This window comes from Homo sapiens, chromosome 22, assembly GCF_000001405.40.
Source record: "Homo sapiens chromosome 22, GRCh38.p14 Primary Assembly".
Lineage (NCBI taxonomy): Eukaryota > Metazoa > Chordata > Mammalia > Primates > Hominidae > Homo > Homo sapiens.
In genome coordinates this window covers 24,173,083-24,189,539 of record NC_000022.11, presented here as the reverse complement: position 1 = coordinate 24,189,539, position 16,457 = coordinate 24,173,083, and the positions used below count along the sequence as shown (strand labels likewise).

At 62.2% G+C, this 16,457-nt stretch overlaps 2 protein-coding genes across 49 annotated transcripts in view, besides 4 other annotated features; both read right to left on the bottom strand.

Annotated features, from left to right (window-relative positions):
- On the bottom strand, positions 434-8,053 carry SUSD2 (sushi domain containing 2). The gene is made up of 15 exons (NM_019601.4): positions 7,945-8,053; positions 6,273-6,483; positions 5,894-6,045; positions 5,237-5,404; positions 4,600-4,774; positions 4,245-4,446; positions 3,969-4,054; positions 3,611-3,879; positions 3,381-3,524; positions 3,125-3,283; positions 2,090-2,338; positions 1,697-1,969; positions 1,405-1,581; positions 1,213-1,315; positions 434-1,128 (listed from the first exon to the last, which is right to left on the bottom strand). The coding sequence occupies exons 1-15, from the start codon at positions 8,018-8,020 to the stop codon at positions 1,104-1,106; spliced, it is 2,469 nt and encodes an 822-aa protein (NP_062547.1). The 5' UTR covers positions 8,021-8,053; the 3' UTR covers positions 434-1,103.
- Positions 5,824-5,933: an enhancer, noted in NCBI's record as "active region_18763". NCBI's record gives its function as "activates an Ori minimal core promoter by ATAC-STARR-seq in GM12878 lymphoblastoid cells {active_cell/tissue: GM12878}" and the evidence as "EXISTENCE:reporter gene assay evidence [ECO:0000049][PMID:35858748]".
- Positions 6,004-6,083: an enhancer, noted in NCBI's record as "active region_18762". NCBI's record gives its function as "activates an Ori minimal core promoter by ATAC-STARR-seq in GM12878 lymphoblastoid cells {active_cell/tissue: GM12878}" and the evidence as "EXISTENCE:reporter gene assay evidence [ECO:0000049][PMID:35858748]".
- CABIN1 (calcineurin binding protein 1) overlaps positions 10,912-16,457 on the bottom strand; it is a 167,325-nt gene continuing 161,779 nt past the window's right edge. For 37 of the 48 annotated variants that reach the window (XM_047441218.1, XM_047441219.1, XM_047441232.1 and 34 more), the window contains 3 exons: positions 13,265-13,429; positions 11,723-12,036; positions 10,912-11,487 (listed from right to left, as the gene is read on the bottom strand). In XM_047441218.1, the coding sequence (XP_047297174.1) occupies positions 11,344-11,487; positions 11,723-12,036; positions 13,265-13,429 (623 nt within the window). In that variant the 3' untranslated portion in view covers positions 10,912-11,343. The remainder of the gene's footprint in view (positions 11,488-11,722; positions 12,037-13,264; positions 13,430-16,457) is intronic. The other 11 variants (XM_047441226.1, XM_047441221.1, XM_047441224.1 and 8 more) reach the window with 1 other exon arrangement.
- Positions 13,574-14,433: an enhancer, noted in NCBI's record as "H3K27ac-H3K4me1 hESC enhancer chr22:24571075-24571934 (GRCh37/hg19 assembly coordinates)". NCBI's record gives its function as "activates a minimal SCP1, AML or CMV promoter by ChIP-STARR-seq in naive H9 embryonic stem cells {active_cell/tissue: H9 hESC(naive)}" and the evidence as "EXISTENCE:reporter gene assay evidence [ECO:0000049][PMID:30033119]".
- Positions 14,147-14,206: a silencer, noted in NCBI's record as "silent region_13544". NCBI's record gives its function as "represses an Ori minimal core promoter by ATAC-STARR-seq in GM12878 lymphoblastoid cells {active_cell/tissue: GM12878}" and the evidence as "EXISTENCE:reporter gene assay evidence [ECO:0000049][PMID:35858748]".

Here is a 16,457-nt window from a genome sequence, read left to right as displayed (position 1 = left end):
TGCCCAGATTCTGGACATTCCTGGGCTAAGGAGCCTGGGCGCTGGTCTCCTGAGGACTTGGAACTGATCCTGCCAGCGACTGCACCCAGCCAAGGAGCCGAGGCTGCAGGGCAGTGCTTGCCAGAGCACGCCAGGGCGTGGTGAGGGGGTGGCACCTCTGTTGAGGGAGGGGTTGTCCTTCTCCATCTCCTGAGTGACCCAAGTGAGCCCTGTGCTGTGTTGGCGGCCTCCCCACCCCACGAGGCGGCCACAGTTCTCCATCCCACTGCATACATGGAGAGAGAGCCTGGGGAGGGAGCATCCCCGGCAACCTCGTGGAGGAAGCAGGCAGGGCTCAGACCTGCCTCACTCTGGATACTGTTGGTGGTGACCCCGGGAGGCGGTCATGGAACTCTCCAGAACCAGGGCGCAGCATGAACACCAGGAGACCAGGGAAGGAAACAAGGCGCTTGTTTTCTCTTTGCACAGGCAGGGAGGGTGTTCCTGAGTGACCTTCCAGAAGAGTTCGAAATTATAAGCCTGGAGTGCCGAGGGAGGCCTCTGCCGCTGGGGGTCTCGCTGTCTGCTTTGGGGTTCTGGGGCCTCTCCTTACCCCATCTGGGGTCCCAGGATGGGCCCAGGGGTCCAGGAACCAAGGCAGCACTGCACTGGTGCCCGCACGGTCCGGGAGCAGGCCTCCGTAGATCAGGGGTCAGGGGCCCCGGCATCAGGCTCTGGGGAGTGAGGTATTGGAATCTGAGGCTCAGGGGTCAGGGGCCCCGGCGTCAGGCTCTAGGGAGTGAGCTATTGGAATCTGAGGCTCAGGTGTGGGAGTGTCAGGGCTCAGGACATAGGTATTAGAATCCCAGGGTATGAAGTTTCAGGTTTGGGGAATTAGAGCCGTGAGTATTTGGGGAAGAGCACGGAGCGCTGCTAGCACGGGGCTTGGGTGTTGGAACACTGGGCCTCCTGCCTGGGGTCTGAGATGACAGAGTAGGGGGTTAAATGCCCAGGTATCAAGTATCCAGGTCCCAGGTGTCTGGTCCTGGGGATGCGGGAGTCGCAGGACTGGGCTGCCTGTTCTCAGGAGTCTTGGCCTGGTGCTCACAGCCAAGCTGCTCCCATCAGGGCTGTGCACCCCAGACGTGCCTGCAACAGAAACGCAGTTAGAAGTAGCCTCGGTGGTCCCACCGGCTGTCTCGGGGTCTTGGGAGAGGGGCTGGGGGGTCTCACGTGTTGCCCTTCCTGCGGCGCAGCAGCACATAGACGAGCGCAACCGCCGCCACCACCGCGAGGCCCCCAAAGATGATGCCCAACAGCACCGCGTAGCTGCGTCCTGGTGAGGGAGCGAGTGTCAGTGAGGGGGCTCTCTGGGGTGGTGAGTGGGGACAGGTGCAGGCAGGTGTATGAGCAGAGTGTCCTCACCTGGCTGGCACTTCGGGGTGGGTGAGGACCAGGTGCCGTCAGCCTGGCAGGTGCTGGTCTCTGCCCCGGCCAGGCTGTAGCCGTTGTCACAGTGGAAGTAGATGGTGGAACCCGCCAGGTACCTGTTGCCCTCCTTTTGTCCGTTGGGAGGTGGGGCCAGCCAGCCACAGGACACCACTGGGATGGGGACAGAGTGCAGACAACAGGCCTGAGCTGCCATGCATACACACATCTGGCCACCCCGGGGGGTCCTGTCCCAGCTCCCCGCCCACCCCCACCTGCCCGCCCTCACCTGGCTGCAGGCTCTGCATGCGACGCTGGTGCAGCTGGTGGGCCACCCGAGTGGCAGTGCCCGTGCTCAGGCTCCCAGTGGCTGCCACATCAAAGTTGCAGAAATGATCGTCCCCACATAGTTTGGCTGCCTCTTGTGCCAGGCTGGGGTTGAGGGTGGTCTCACTGGGGAAGAGGGGCTCGAAGGTGGGGTCGTGCTTGGGTTGGTACAGGAAGTTGTGGACCAGGAACCAGGAATCGTAGGTGAGCAGGGAGGACGCATTGTGCACGGTCCCTGGAAGATACATGACCGGGGCCTGGCTGGGCATGGCTCCCTTTGGTCCCCAAGCCCTGCCCGTGCCATGTTTCCAGTAACCCCCACCCCGTCTGCCCCATATACTCCACGGTCACTCACAGTTGGCCCCAAACAGGAACAGCTCCTGGGGACTGGTGCCTGGGGGCAGGACGCGCCCGCTGTGCAGGGTGAAGTCGTCGGTGGGGTCGTTGTTGAGTGTCCCGAGGAGGCCGTGGGTGTGGGTGAGGAACTTCTCAGGCAGCAGGACGGACACACTCAGGAACGGGCCCTGCACGCTGACCTCCAGGCCGGCCCCTGATGCCAGCATGATGGAGACCCTGTCCCCGGCAGCCACCGACAGGAACATTCCTGGGCTCAAGGGGGATGCATTAGGGTCACCCGCTGTGAGCATCTTGTCCCCTCCCGCAGCCCCAGGACAGGGTGGTCGGCACCCAGGGGCTGTGGGTGAGGGCACCTGCAGGGGAAGGGAGGGCGTTCCCGGGGCCAATTCTGCTGACCATGACCCTCCGCCACCCCTGCCATGCTTGCGGTGGAACTCCCAGCGGCACCTGAGGTGCAGCCCCTGCAGTGAATCCCCCATGTTGAGATGCACGTGTGGGTCCCTCTGGCCTTGGCTGCAGCAGCCACACCTGCCTGGGCACGTCCCGAGGGTCCCTGAACCCTCAGTGCTGACAGGCCCCTCCCAGGTCCTCACCCATCCCAACCAGGAATCCTTTCATTGACTCAGTTCCCTGAGGCAAGGGGTTCAGATGTGGAGCTACCACTTGCCAGGGGCATCCTTAACCGTGCAGGGCTGGAGACCTTGCAGTGGCTTTTGAGGACTGAGGGAGTGACAGGAGCACAGGAGTGGCTCTGTGCAGGCCAGCGGTGAACGTTACCAGGGTGAGTTCCCCTCCAGAAGGCTCCCGGGATCCTCCGTAGGGAGGACATGTCCCACCGTCACGGCCTCTCGGCTTTTGACCAGGTGGGTACGACGGGGGCACCTCGGTGGGTGTGAAGGCCTGAGGTCGGACCACCCAGGCCTCTAGCCAGGACTGGGAGAGGCATGAAGGCCCAGGGCTTCCCCTCAGTCTCCCTGCAGGAATGGGGAGGAGGTGAGGGCAGCCCGCAGCCTCGCGTGGCTGGACTGCTCACCTTTCAGGTCCATCCAGCTCTGCTCGGTGAAGCTCAGCACCTCCTGGTTCAGCAGCACCTCCAGACCTCCGGTCCTGTTGGCCAGCCTGACTTCCACCACATCTGAGTTGCCCTCCTGGACGGCCACTGCGGTCAGCCCAGTGCCACGGGTCTCCGTGCCTGCGGTGGTGGGAGCAGAACGGGAGCCACTTGGCTCCAGCCTCCCACCTTGGTTCTACCCCATGCCAACCAGAGCAGCCCCTAGCCCTGGCCTCACCGTTGGACATCGTCCCGGGCTGGGCCCGCGCCTGCACCCTCAGGTCGGTCAGCGCTGCCTCCAGCAGCACGTACTCTCCGCGCCCATTGAATGTGAAGTTGGTGCCGTCGAAGGTCACAAAGTGTGGGTCTCCGAAGGCGGAGGCTAGGGTGAGAGTGGAGGGTCACGTGGGGGTGCACCCCAGCCCAGCCCGATCTTTCCCAGGGTCTGGGGCACGGGATGGCACCCACCCAGTCTTGGGGGCCGGTAGTTGCGGCAGTCATTGGAGGGCCGCCGTTGCATGTAGCGGGGGCAGTCGGGTGCCCAGAGGCAGCAGTAATAGAAGCTGAGGACATCGTAGAGCCAGTGGGACATGCTGGGCACTCGGGGTGGCGTGCGGAACGGGGGTGCGCCCCAGTCATGGCCGCGGTCGGGAGTGCTGCCGCCGCTGGAGTCAGCTGTCAGGAGCTGCGTCCCGTCCGCTGTGTAGCAGCACTGCTGACCTGAGCCGTACCGGAGGCTGCAGGAGCCAGTGAGTCAGGGCCAGGCCACTGTTGGGAGCCCACCCCTGACCCCAATCCCCATACCGGCCCCAGCCTGGGGGCTCACCTGGCCTGCACAGAACGCACACAGTGCACGGCCCCGGGGTGGTAGGTGCACACGCTGCCCTGCTCCATGTCACAGCCGTAGTCCGTCTGCAGAGCAGCAGGTGGCTGTCACCCAGTGGCCTCGGGTTCTGTCATCCCCTCCCTGAGGCCAACCCTGCAGGGGTCCTGAGACCCCAGCCCCACCCTCCAGGACACCTCTGTCTGCCTCCCCTGGTGCTGTCCTCAGTGGGGAGGCTAACCCCTCATCCCCTCTCCTGGGCCCTGATGGGAGGCTCACGAAGAAGCGGCCGGAGTCAGCCCGGGCCTGGGTCAGGGTGCAGGGGCAGTCCGGCAGCTCCTCCAGGAAGTTGGGCAGCTGATCCTCCAGCTCCTCCCAGGCCTGGCACTGAGTTCGTGCCCAGGCCACAGGGTCCTCTCGGAAGTCATCGCTCAGGTGCCAGGCCAGTGCGTGGTCGTTGGTCCAGAGCGCCTGCACGTCCCTGTGGAGGTGATGATGCTGGAGCTGGGCCAGCCCACACCACCCCATGGTCGCCCCACTCTCCCCACCCCCAGCCTGGGCTGCCCAGGCAAGCATGATGGGCCTCGGGCGGCGAGGCCCTCCAGCCATCACCTGCACATCCATGCCTTCTTACTTCTGCCCTGCGTAATTTTTGCTGTCGATGATCCGAAGTGCACCCACTCGCCATCTCTGGTAGCTGGGAGGAGCAGGTTTTGGGGTGAAAGTGAAAGAGCCGGAGTTGGGGATGTGTGTGGCCAGGGGGTACAGGTACGACCACTTTGCAGTCCACTCCTGTGAGTAGGGCATTCCTGAGGGAGAGGATGCCTGGTTAGCCCTGGGGTTCCTTCGAGGCCTGGCCCCAGGCCTTGCCACCTACAGCAGCCTGACAGATGGGTGGATGGACCGCCAGGCGGTCCCCTTAGGAGGGGCTGTTCTAGCAGGGACCCCGGCTTGGGTGACCATCACCTCCTGCCACACTCCAGGATCCCTGTCCCTGCTGGAAGCTGGGCCCAGGGCCATGCCAGCCGTGCAGGGGTTCCTCATGAGCCTCCTCCCCTGGAGCCAGGCCCCATGAGCTGCCCCCTCCCACCTGCCTGACCCCCCTGACCTGCACTTCCCTCCATCCGAATCCTCAATCTCTGCCTGGAATTCCCTTCCCTCCTCAACCCCACCTGGAAACTCCCTTCCTCCTCCCACACAGCTGGGACCCCCTTTCTCCCCCTCTGGGGGCCCAAAGCTCTGATGCCACCCCAGCCCTCAGCTGGCCTCACCTGTCTCCTCGTAGCCCCACAGTTCGATGGTGATGGTCTGCGTGGGCAGCGACTTGACATGCCAGGTCAGGCTGAGGTTGCCTGAGGTGTTGGCGGTGCCGTAGTATTGCCAACGCGTCTCGTTCACCAACTCGCTCTTCTCCATCATTGACACTTTGTTGGGGTGCACTGGGCAGGGGAGGTGAGGGGTGAGTGAGGGCCTGGGCCCAGGGAAGCAGGGAGGAGGCCCTGAGGCTTCAAGGGCTGTGGGAGCCTCCAGGGCCAATGCATGGCAGCAGCTGGGTGATGGTCTCTCTGGCCCGCACAGCAGAAAAGGACGCTGAGGCCGCAGAGGCAGGGGCCTGCCCTCCCTCCACTGCCCACGCCTCTAGCCTCGACCTGGCTTCTCCCCTGCCCTGGCATGGCGGAGCTCAGTGGATAGGCACTGGCCCACCTCTCTAGGGACCCCTGCAGCTCCCACTCACTCTGGGCTGGGACCGCGGTCTGGATGCCAGGGAGTGGAAAGGAGCTGAAGGAACTCTCGCAGGCGGGCAGGCCTCCCAAGGGACTGGTTCAGCCAGAGAGGCAGGGCACGGACAGGCCAAGTCTCGGTGTGCATAGATTAGCGCTGGGGAAAGTCCCCGTGGGGGCAGGCTGTGGGCAGGGAGGAGGGCTCACCAGCCAGCCAGGTGCCCGCACGAGGGAAGGAGTGGCCGTTGTCCAGTGACACAGTGAAGGGGATGCGGCCGCTCTCATAGAGCAGAGGTGACACACAGTGCACTTGCCCGGAGGAGTCCACATGGCCGAGGGTCTGGATGCTGTCCTTAAACCTGTGGGCGTGGTGGTGGTGGGAGGGGCTGGGTCATTGCAGGCTGAGCCTCTCGATGGTCTGGGCCCCCAACCTCCCTGGGGAACCCAACCAGCCAGCTGTCCCTGTGCCCTCCTGCCTGTCCTGGGTCCGAGGGGCTCCACTCAGCCAGTCAGTGGGTCTGAGCCCTCAGCATGCACAGGGATGGGGGCGTGGGGCCCCAGTGCCCGGCCTCCTGGGCCTCCCAACCTGCAGATCACACTGGCGTCTGTGGGGCTGGACATCTTGAAGTGCCGCACCACAAAGTCCTTGCCGCCCATCATGGATCCTGAGTAGGGCAATATCTCCAGGCAGAAGTCCCGGAAATCCAAGCAGCAGGTGCCAAGGCCAGAGCACGTCGGGTGGCAGGAACATGGCCCGTCCAGGGCGCCACAGCGCATGGAGCAGCTCTCTTGGGCATCTGGAGGAGAGGATGCTGAGGGCCTGGCCCGGCGGGTACTGGACTGGCTGCCCCATGTGCAGGGCCTGTCTCTGTTTCTCCCACAGCCCATTAGACAGCAGCATCCCCAGGAGAACGCTGGCCAGGAACTGCACAGGCCACCAGGTGGACACAGTAGAAAGCCACAGGGCCCGTGGGGATGGGATGAATCTTAGCACAGACCATCTGGCTGTTGCCCTGACTGACGGGCTAGAATGCAGCGAGAAGAGGCAAAAAGCTGCATCCGCTCAGCCCTGCAGGGTCAGGAGAAGCCCCTGGGCATGACTGCCCTTCAGCCACCAAGTCCTCTATCCCACAGGCAGGGGTCCTCAGTGGGCCACGGTAGCTGGAGCCCTCGACCTCTCTTGGCTCCCCAGGGTGTCTGTGGTCAGCACGCCTTCTGGGGGCCCTGAAGCCTGCAGAAGAACCCCTCTTGCTTGCCTGGACTGGGGTGGGGGATATGGCTGCCAAGAGTCTCATTTGAGGCCTGGTAGGGAATGGTGCAGGGTCTGAACGTGACACTTCTCGCTCTCCCAGGGGCTGCAATTGAGACCCCAAAGAGAGCTCCGTGCTCAGGGCAGAAGGCCAGGGCCGCTCCCCTCCTTTCTGGGGAGAGGAGGGACATTTCAAGCAGGGGTCCCAGCAGTGGGGAAAGGGAAGTGGGGGTGCACACCACAAGGGGCTGTGGGCGCCGGGCCCAAAACTTCTCCTATGGGCCATAAGACCGGTGGGCAAGGCCATATTTCCAGGGGCTGGCATGAAGGAAGGGTTGCAGGGAGGGACTGGGGCAGGTGCATGCACCCAGGCTGGAATTGCACTTCCCTGGCCCTTCCCCATCCCCCATCAAAAGAGGCCAGTCGAGGGCCAGGCCTGGGCCTGAGCCACCCCGCTGGCCCCACTTCACCAAGTGCAGTGCCTGGCACTTAAAAGCAACAATAAATATGTACTGGCCAAGGATTTGGTGGCGCACAGGGGTCGGGGGAGGAGGCCGAGAGATGCTTGCAAGTGAGATAAGTGGCAAGAGGGTCGATGGGAAATGGGGTGGGGGACGGGGGGCAGCCTGGGACCAGTGTCCTGGTTCTGGAGTTCGGGGCTTTCCCTAGACTTTCCTGGATTCAGCCCCACCCTGATGAGGACCCACAATCCTGGCTCCCCCTCCGTGATCCCGCCCTGTCAGGGCTGGGGACACAGGCGGAGGCCTCTGCTGGTCTCCCCCGCCTCCCTCCTAGCTACCAGCAGGTTTAGGGTGGGCCCGGCTCAGACCTCCCATCCCCATGGGCTGCCCCTCCACATGGACCCTCAGAATTTCTTCCCATCACCCCTAGCACAGCCACAGATGGCCTGACAGATGGACAGAGGCTGAGCCCAGAGGGATGTCAGCCCAGGCCTGGCTGCAGACAGATGGACAGACAGACGGGGACACAGAAGGGCAGGGAGGCATACCTGCTGTGGGTCCGGGGCCCGGGCCGAGGGCTGTCGCCAGCAGCAGCAGGGCCCAGGGCAGGAGGGCTGGCTTCATGGTGCAGCCTGTGTCTGCAGCCAGCAGTGCAGTGGCTCCGAGGCGAGGCGGCCAGACAAGCTCACTCCCTGCTGGCCTGGCCCCGCCCGCCCTGCACTCTGCGGCACCGCCCCGCCCCGCCCCTCCCCGCCCCTCCCCACCCAGTCCCCTCTCAAAGTCCACAGGTGCCTGCGTGGACCAGCAAGGCCCAAGTTGCCCCGTTAGCACATTCCTGGCCCGCAGGCCTGGATCGGCCCTGGGACCCTGTGGGAGGGTGAGGAGGCCGGAGCCTCCAGCCACAGGACCTTTGGCAGGCGATGAGCCGGATGTCCAGAGGGCGAAGCTCAGACCCTGGGTCCCAGCCCCGCCTTGCATGCAGGGCGAGCCCGGCGGGGCTGAAGCAGAGGATGGGATGCGCAGGGTGAATAAGGCAGGGCTGTTTTAGCTCCAGGGAGGATTCCAGACTCTGTGGCCCTGACATAGACCTCCATCTCTAGCCCTCATCTTCCTGCAGGAAGGAGGTGCACCCAACTCATCCTCAGGGGGAGGCAGGAGCTGTTTGGGTCAGACACAGGCTGAGCCCTGGGGCGGAGGCAGCTCTGCAGGGGTCCCCTCTGGAGGGAGGAAGGAGGAAGGGGAGAGAAGGTACCCAAGCCCAGCGGGGGGCCCGGAAGGGAGACAGGGCCCATCCCCGGGCTCCAGAGATGCCACCACCCTGGGGAGCCTTGGCTGTCCCAGCCACACCTAATCCTGCCGCTAAGAGTTTGCATAATTTAATCAGTATTCACCTCCCTTCTTGAGCAGATGAGGAAACTGAAGCTCAGATGCGGATAGGCAAGGCCGAGCCAGGCCCTTGGTGGCTTCTGGGAGCCCCTGCAGCCAGGGCGGGTGGTAAGGGCTGCGGCCTGGGACTGGTCATTTGGACCCTGACACCTGGGCTGGACATCCAGACAGGCGGGTGGTCCTCTCCCAGCTGCAGCTTCTCAAGGTGTCCAAAAGGGACCCTTGCCACACTTGCAGGGAGTCAGAGGTGGCCCCAGGGCATGAGCTTAGGCCATCCGGTCTGTGATCTGCCCCAGCGCTTGCGGCCAGGCCAGCCCATTGTTCCCCGGCCTGTTCTCTCTCTTGCCTGGGTGGTGCCTGCTGGGAACCACAGGGTGTTGGCAGCCACCCGTGGCTCCAGAGAGGTGGCCCCTACTGAAAGTGTTAGAGGCGTGTGCTGGGGGACTTGGCTCCTGAGTCCCCACACAGAGCTGTTCCAGGGAAGCCACACCCGCATTTGATGTTTTCCCACCTCCCAAAGACATTTGGTGAGAGGCCCCCAAGACCTTCAGCTTCTCAGGGACTGTCTCCAGAGGGGAGAAAGTCCCTTAACCCACAATGGCGCTCAGGGCACCTCTGCAGGTGAGTGTCCTGTAAGTGGACGCTCAGGTGCTGAGCCAGGGAGAGCCTGTCTCCTGGCCCCAGGCTGGCGAGGGCATTCATCCCAGGCCCAGGGCTGAAGTTGCTCCCTACAGCACTGGGTGCAGGGGAGGGTCCGAGGTGTCCGTCCTCCTATAGGTGAGGCTCCAGGGAGGGGTGCTGGGGGATCGGCTGAGACAGTTCCCGGGAACTGGAGGAGGGAGAGCTGCTGCTTCCTGTTTTTGGCCTGGGCACCGTTGCTGCGCGTGTCTGGAGACAATGGAAGTGCGGTAGGGGCTAGGTGTGCAGTCTGGGAAGCTCCATACCCCAGGCCCTGCAGGGAGGGGGCGTCAGCTGAGTAACTGGGGCTGGCTTATCTCAGCCCCCCGAAAGGCGGGTTCAGCCAGACCCATCTGGGGCCACCAAGCCTCTGGTTCCAAAAGGGCGGTGCCCAGCCCTTTACGCCTTTCCTCCTGGGTGGTGGGCATGTCCAGCCCATGAGGGGCACAGGGCAGTGAGGAGGGTCCCCATCTCCATCCTGGACAGAGAGCCTGCTCCATGGGAGGTCCCAGGGCCAGGAGGGCCCCTGCGGTGCTGGGAGGGGAAGAGAGTTGTGAAGGGTGCCAGCTCTAGGGGCTTAATGCTCTGTGGGGCCTGCCTTAAAATCCTTAATCATTTTTGGTCAGACATGGTGGTGGCTCAGGCCTGTAATCCCAGCACTTTGGGAGGCCAAGGTGGGTGGATCACTTGAGGTCAGGAGTTTGAAACCAGCCTGGCCAACATGGTGAAACTCCGTCTATACTAAAAATACAAAAATTAGCTGGGCGTGTTGGCGTGTGCCTGTGATCTCAGCTACTCGGGAGGCTGAGGCAAGAGAATCGCTTGAATCCAGAAGGCGGGGGTTGCAGTGAGCTGAGATCGTGCCACTGCAGATCGTGCCACTGCATTCCAGCCTGGGAGACAGAGTGAGACTCCATATCAAAAAAAAAAAAAAAAAAAAAAAAAAATCCTTAATCCTTTTTGATCAAGGAGCTTCATATTTATGTCTTGCACTGAGCCCAGCTATTCTGTGACTGGCCCCATTAGGGCGACTGTGATGGGAGTTAAGTACCCTCCCTGCCGGCCCCATCCCCCCTTTCCCTCCCTGACAGCCCCCTCCTCCCAGCCTCTCAGCTGCCCCAGCCCTGCCTGCCCTCCCACCGTACAGCCTCCCACCCACTGGCACCCAGGTGCGTTCTGGGGATGCACCTAACTCCCCTTTGAAGCCTGGCTCCAGCTGCACTAGAGGCGTCTGCCTGGCCCAGCCCCGAGTCGGCTCTCTCCTTACCCCACTGGGCACCCCCAGCCGCTGCTTTGGTTGCCTGGCTGGTCCCTGAGATGCTGGAGAAGGAGGGGGGCTAGGCCCTGCCCTATGGACTATGGCAGTAAAGGCCCAGAATCCCTGGGGACAGCAACTCTCCGCCAGAGACTCTGCCAGATTGCCCCCTAGAGGTGAGCAAAGAGGCAAAGACAACTGTTCCATCTTTATTAGAAAAGCAACCAAAAAAAGGGTGAGGGGTGAGCCTGGCCCTAAAGGACCCCTCCACTGTGACACAGGCAGAGCCGGCTCATCCCGGCGTCGAGGGGTGGATATGGCCAGCTGGGTGTGGGCAGATTTACAAAGTCAACACTTCATAGAAAAGGATGCCGCCTGGCGTGCAGATGGCGACCAATCCACCTTCACATGGCTAAGGCGGGCCCCTCCTCCTCTGGGCTCCCATGTGGTGTGGACAGCCTGACCTGGGTACAGGGAGGATGCCATGAGGAGGTGGGCTGGGCAGGCCTGGGGGCTGTGTGGGGAGTGGCATCCATGTGGGCCTCTGGTCCTGCCCAGGGTCCTGCCCAGGGGGCATTCCAGGCCTGGCTGGTCCCCTGGGGCGTGGCGGTGGGGCTGCAGTGGCCCCTCAAATGTCCATGTAGTCGTCGTCCTCGTCTGTCTCGCTCTCCAGCGAGGACTCCTGGCTGGATGTCTCCAGGACCTCCAGGGCTGGCTGGCATAGGCTCTCCTTCCTCACGTTGGCAGCAGACTGGGCAGAAAGGATGGCTGACTGCGGAGAGGGCCGGGCGGGGCACTGGTCAAGGATGGCTGGGCTCTGCCCCAAGCCCCTCTGCCACCTTCACCCCTGCCCCAGGCCCCCCTCCCACCCTCACCCCTGCCCCAGGCCCCTATGCCATCCTCACCCACACCCCAGGCCCTCCTGCCACCCCCACCCCCATCCTAGGCCCCCTTTGTAACCTATGCCTCCCACCCACACATGGCTCCAGCCCAGCCCCTGAGGTCACCTTCAGCTTCTGCTTGGTCTCCTCCGAGATGCTGCCTTTGGGGGAGAGCAGGGTTGGGGTGGGTGGCGTGACGGTGATCTCAGGGGGGAACTTGGTGGCGGCGGAGGGGATGACCAGCTTTGGCATGTTGGGCAGGGGGCGGGACTTAGCCCGGCTGGGCTCAGGCTTGCCTGGGTGACCCTCTGGTGGCTGGGCACTCCCACTGCTGGGGGCCTTGGAGCTGGCAGCTGTTGGGGGAGAGCTCAGGGGCTGAGTCTCACTCGCAGCCTCCTGAGCCTCCCCATCCCTTCTCGGCTCAGGCCTCAGTTTCCCCTCTGGAAGACAAAGGTACCAAGAGCACTTCCTGCCTGCCGCATCACACAGTGAGCACTTTATCTCGCCCCCACCCGCTCCCCCCAGGTCCTGGGCCTTTATGCTGTGTAGTTTGTGCTGGCTGGCAGGCTCCAAGGCTTCTACCCTGGGCAAATACTTGGCTCAGGCCTGCAGGGACCCAACTCTGGCTCTGAGCTGTGGGGTGCTGGGACTGTGAACCTTACCCAGTAACACCATGAACTCAAAGCCCAGGACCTGAGACTCCCTGAGCCTTGCTGGGTTCTGTAAGACCTCCAGGCATCATGCTTGCATGAACTGTCGTATTTCCACAACCATCCTAGGATGCATGTCCTATTGGTGTCTATGCCCCAGGGAGGACACTGAAGCCCAGAGCTGGTCGCTCAGCCAGGCATGGTCACTGAGCTGGCCCCAGGGCATCCACTTTCGCCTCATCCTCCAGTGGGAGCAAGGGGCTGAGTTTGCCCAGAGCCTGAAGGCTGGGCCAGTTGCAGGCCTGGCAGCCTCTAGGGAGCTGCACGAGCTGGGAGGACCCGGCTGGCCTGGCTCGTCTCCACATTCCTCTGCAGCCCCATGGCTTTAAAAGGAATGGGGTTTACACAGAGCCCATGCCTGGCCCCCAGGGGCTGGCGCCAGGTCCTGCCATCCCAAGTGGTCTGTGGGAGGCCCAGGCCAGGAGGAGTCCCCAAGGGGTCTGGCTGGTTGGGGCAGCTGGTGGGAACAGGCCGGACTGAGGCCAGGGCTAGAATCTGACGTGGCTGTCGACGGGGACGCCTGCTTGGCCCAGCCCAACCTGTCCACCCTTCTGCCTGCTGCTGATGTCCCTCAAGTGTCTGTCACCAGGCCCATGCTCCGCCCTGTCCATGCCTACTCCTCTTTCCCCACTCTGGGCTCAGCCTGGGTTCTGCAGTGGGCCCAAGCAGGCCGCCTGCCCTCGCTAGTACCCCTCCGTGATGCCAGGGGTGGAATAAGCCTCTGGGGTCCCTCTCTACCCAGCCCCTGACACAATGGGCCACGCATTAAACTCTTCAGCCTGGGCCTCTCCCTTGGCTCCCCTGTCCAGCCTGCACTACCCCCATTTCCTCCCCATCTCATTCCATGGGGCATCCCCAGGCCCTGCCCTTCAAGGCCAGGCCGGGAAACCCACCCTGGCTGCCAGCTGTGAGGCAGCCTCCTGGGGGCTGGTGCTGGGCTGCTCCCAACTCGCCTTACCCTGGCTGCAGGTGGGCTCAGCGCCTGTGCCCAGGGCAGCCTCTGCCGGCCAGCAGTGTGGCTCTGCCGGGGAACTTGTGGGGGCCATCTTCACCTGCGGACTGTGCCGTGGCTCCTGAGGCGGGAAGCTGGTGCCCTCTGCCACTCTCGCCAGCTCTTCTCCCTCTGTGGGGACATGGGCTCACTGCAGGTAATAGACTCATCCACCCCGCAGGCTCCAACGCATCTGTGTCAGGTCCTATGGGCCCAGGTTGTGCCCTGGGACACTGGGCAGGGGAGTGTGGCCAATGCTGGGGTCCTGGCTGAGGCAGTCCAGGTTGGTGCTGCCAAGAAACCACTCACCACCCAAGAGGACACTGGTAGGGGCTGGCTCCCCACCCCCAGAGGGCTCCTCCGCCTCCCGAGAGGGCTATACACCTGACCCAGTGGGGCCACACCTGAGTCTTCGAGGCCCAGCCTCTCTTAAGATCCCATCACAAGGCAGTGAGAGGGGATGGGGGGGCAGTGTCCACTCTCCCTCCAGCTCACATAAGCAGCATTCAGAAACGAGGTCAGGACCAAAATCCAAACAACCCAACTAAGACCAAAGTAGACGCTGGCACTATGGCTCCTGCCCAGCCAGCCACACCTTCCCTGGCCTGAGGCAGGGGCCAGGAATTGGGCTCAGTTGGGCCAAGGCCGGGATGGGCCTGAGGGGCAAATGCTGTGCCTGTGGCTGCTGGCCAGGTGACTACTCAGCATCGGTCCCCGGTTCCCAGGCCTCCAGGCCCTCACTTCCCTTGCTGCTCCCCACCTTCTCACTCAGGTCTGGACTCTCCCACCACACTGGTCATCAACCACTGCCTTTCCAGCCACCCCACCGCCTCCCCATCCCGCTCCTCTGCCAGGAGGCCCTCCATCCTCTCCAGCAGGGGGAGCCAGCTCCCCTCCTTGGTCAGCAGGAGTGACAGCTCCCGGTACAAAGCTGGGGCCAGCAGGCGACTGCTGGGCTAGGCAGAGGCCTCAGCGGCCATGGCCATCCCCATCCAGCTGCTCTGCCTGAGGCTCCTGCCCCAGGCTGGCTGAGGCCTTGTCTCAAGCCTCCACCCCCTCGCCCCCTGCCCCCAGTGTCATTCAACAGTTCCATCCTGGCAAAAGGCCATTTAATTTGGTTTTGGGAATGGGAATAGAAAAGGATCAACTCTCCAGGCTGAAGAAGGTATGCTAGGAAACAGATCCTCTTTCTTAGATCTAACAGAGGAGAGAAGGACATGAATTACAGCTTTGGCCTGCTTGATGGTGGGACAGGCAGGCAGAGGGAAAGCAGGCAGTCTCTAGCCCCCTACTCCGCTACCCCTGGCCCTGGCATCCACCAGGCCTTCCCACACCCCAGGGAGGTGTGTGTGGCCTACAGAGATCTCAGTTGCTGCTGAGATTAGGTTATAAAAGACACCATGGCTTCCTCTGTGTTCTCTCGGTGGGGTCAATGGCTCTGGGGAGAACCAGTCACCATGATCCGGGGACACTCAGCTGTTTATAGAAAGGCCCACAGGAGGAGCTGAGGCCTCTGGCCAATAACCAGTGAGGACCTGAGGCTGCCAACACCCCAAGGGAGCTCAGATGCACTGATGATAGCTTGACTGCAACCACGTGGGAGACCCTGAGCCAACTTTACCCCACAAAGCCACTGTAAATTCCTGACCCTCAAAAACTACAAGACGAGAGCATGGGACTGGTACAAGGCAAGACAGCCCCAGGCAGAGGGACAGGAGCTGGGTCTTCGTGGGAGTAAGTCAGCTACCAACACTGACCAACTGATTACGGCACTGGGCTCCCATCACCCCCACACCTTGACGTCACCATCCTCAGGCGGGGTATGGTGGTTCACACCTGTAATCCCAGCACTTTGGGAGGCTGAGGCGAGTGGATCTCCTGAGCCCAGGAGTTTAAGACCAGCTTGGGCAACATGGTGAAACCCCATCTCTACAAAAAATACAAAAATTACCCAGGCGTAGTGGCCCATGCTTGTAGTCTCAGCTACTTGGGAGGCTGAGGTAGGAGGATCACCTGAGCCCAGGGAGGTTGAAGCTGCAGTGAGCCATGATCGCACTGCTGCACTCCAGCCTGGGCAACAGAGTGAGGAAAACAAACAGGCCAGGCTTGGTGGCTCATTCCTGTAATCCCAGCACTTTGGGAGGCTGAGGCAGGCGGATCACCTGAGGTCAGGAGTTCAAGACCAGCTTGGCCAACATGGGGAAACCCTGTCTCCACTAAAAATAAAAAATAAAAATTAAAAAAAAAAAAAAAACCCATACCAAGTCTCTGCTTAACGCCAAGCAGCATTCCAAATCCTGCAGTGCTATTATCTTCATCTTATCCATTTTATGCAGGAAACTGAGGCAGAAAGAAGAAAAGGGATGGCCAAGGTCACATGCTGGTAGAACCACTGCAGTTCGTTTTTTTTAGATGGAGTCTAGCTCTGTCGCCCAGGCTGGAGTGCAGTGGCGTGATGTCAGCTCATTGCAACCTCTGCCTCCTGGGTTCAAGCGATTCTCCTGCTTCAGCCTCCCGAGTAGGTGGGATTACAGGTACCCACCACCACACCCAGCTAATTTTTGTATTTTTAGTAGAGATGGGGTTTCACCATGTTGGCCAGGATGGTCTCCATCTCTTGACCTCGTGATCCGCCCACCTCGGCCTCCCACTGTGCTGGGATTACAGGCGTGAGCCACCGCGCCTGGCCAGCACTACACTTCTTTTACGGCTCTTTGTCCTGAAGCCTTCACAGGCTCCTCTGGGAACAAATGGCCACAGGTTCTGACCCAAAGGGAAGTAATTCTTTGTCTCACAGGGCCACGACCAGTGCAACCGAGGCTGACTGGGCTAGAGGATGCCTACATGTTCACAATCCTCAAAGCAGTGTGGATGGCATCAGGTGAAAACATCAGCACCTGCTTGCTGCTTGAGCCACCGTGGGAAAGAGCTGAGGAAGACTTCTCAACTCAACCTCCACTCAGGCGCACAGTCTGTGGGGGCTCTTAGGCCTGCCTTCTGCTGGGCACTTCTGCAGAGTGGCTGTCTCGTTTTTCAGATGGGTAGGAAATTCAACTGGGAAGACAGGTGAGCCTCCAGGGGTGACACAGGCTGTGGGCCAGTGCAGGGTCTGCGGCAAGGAAACAGGCTGGGTCCTTGAGGCAGGGAGGGAGAAGCAGGG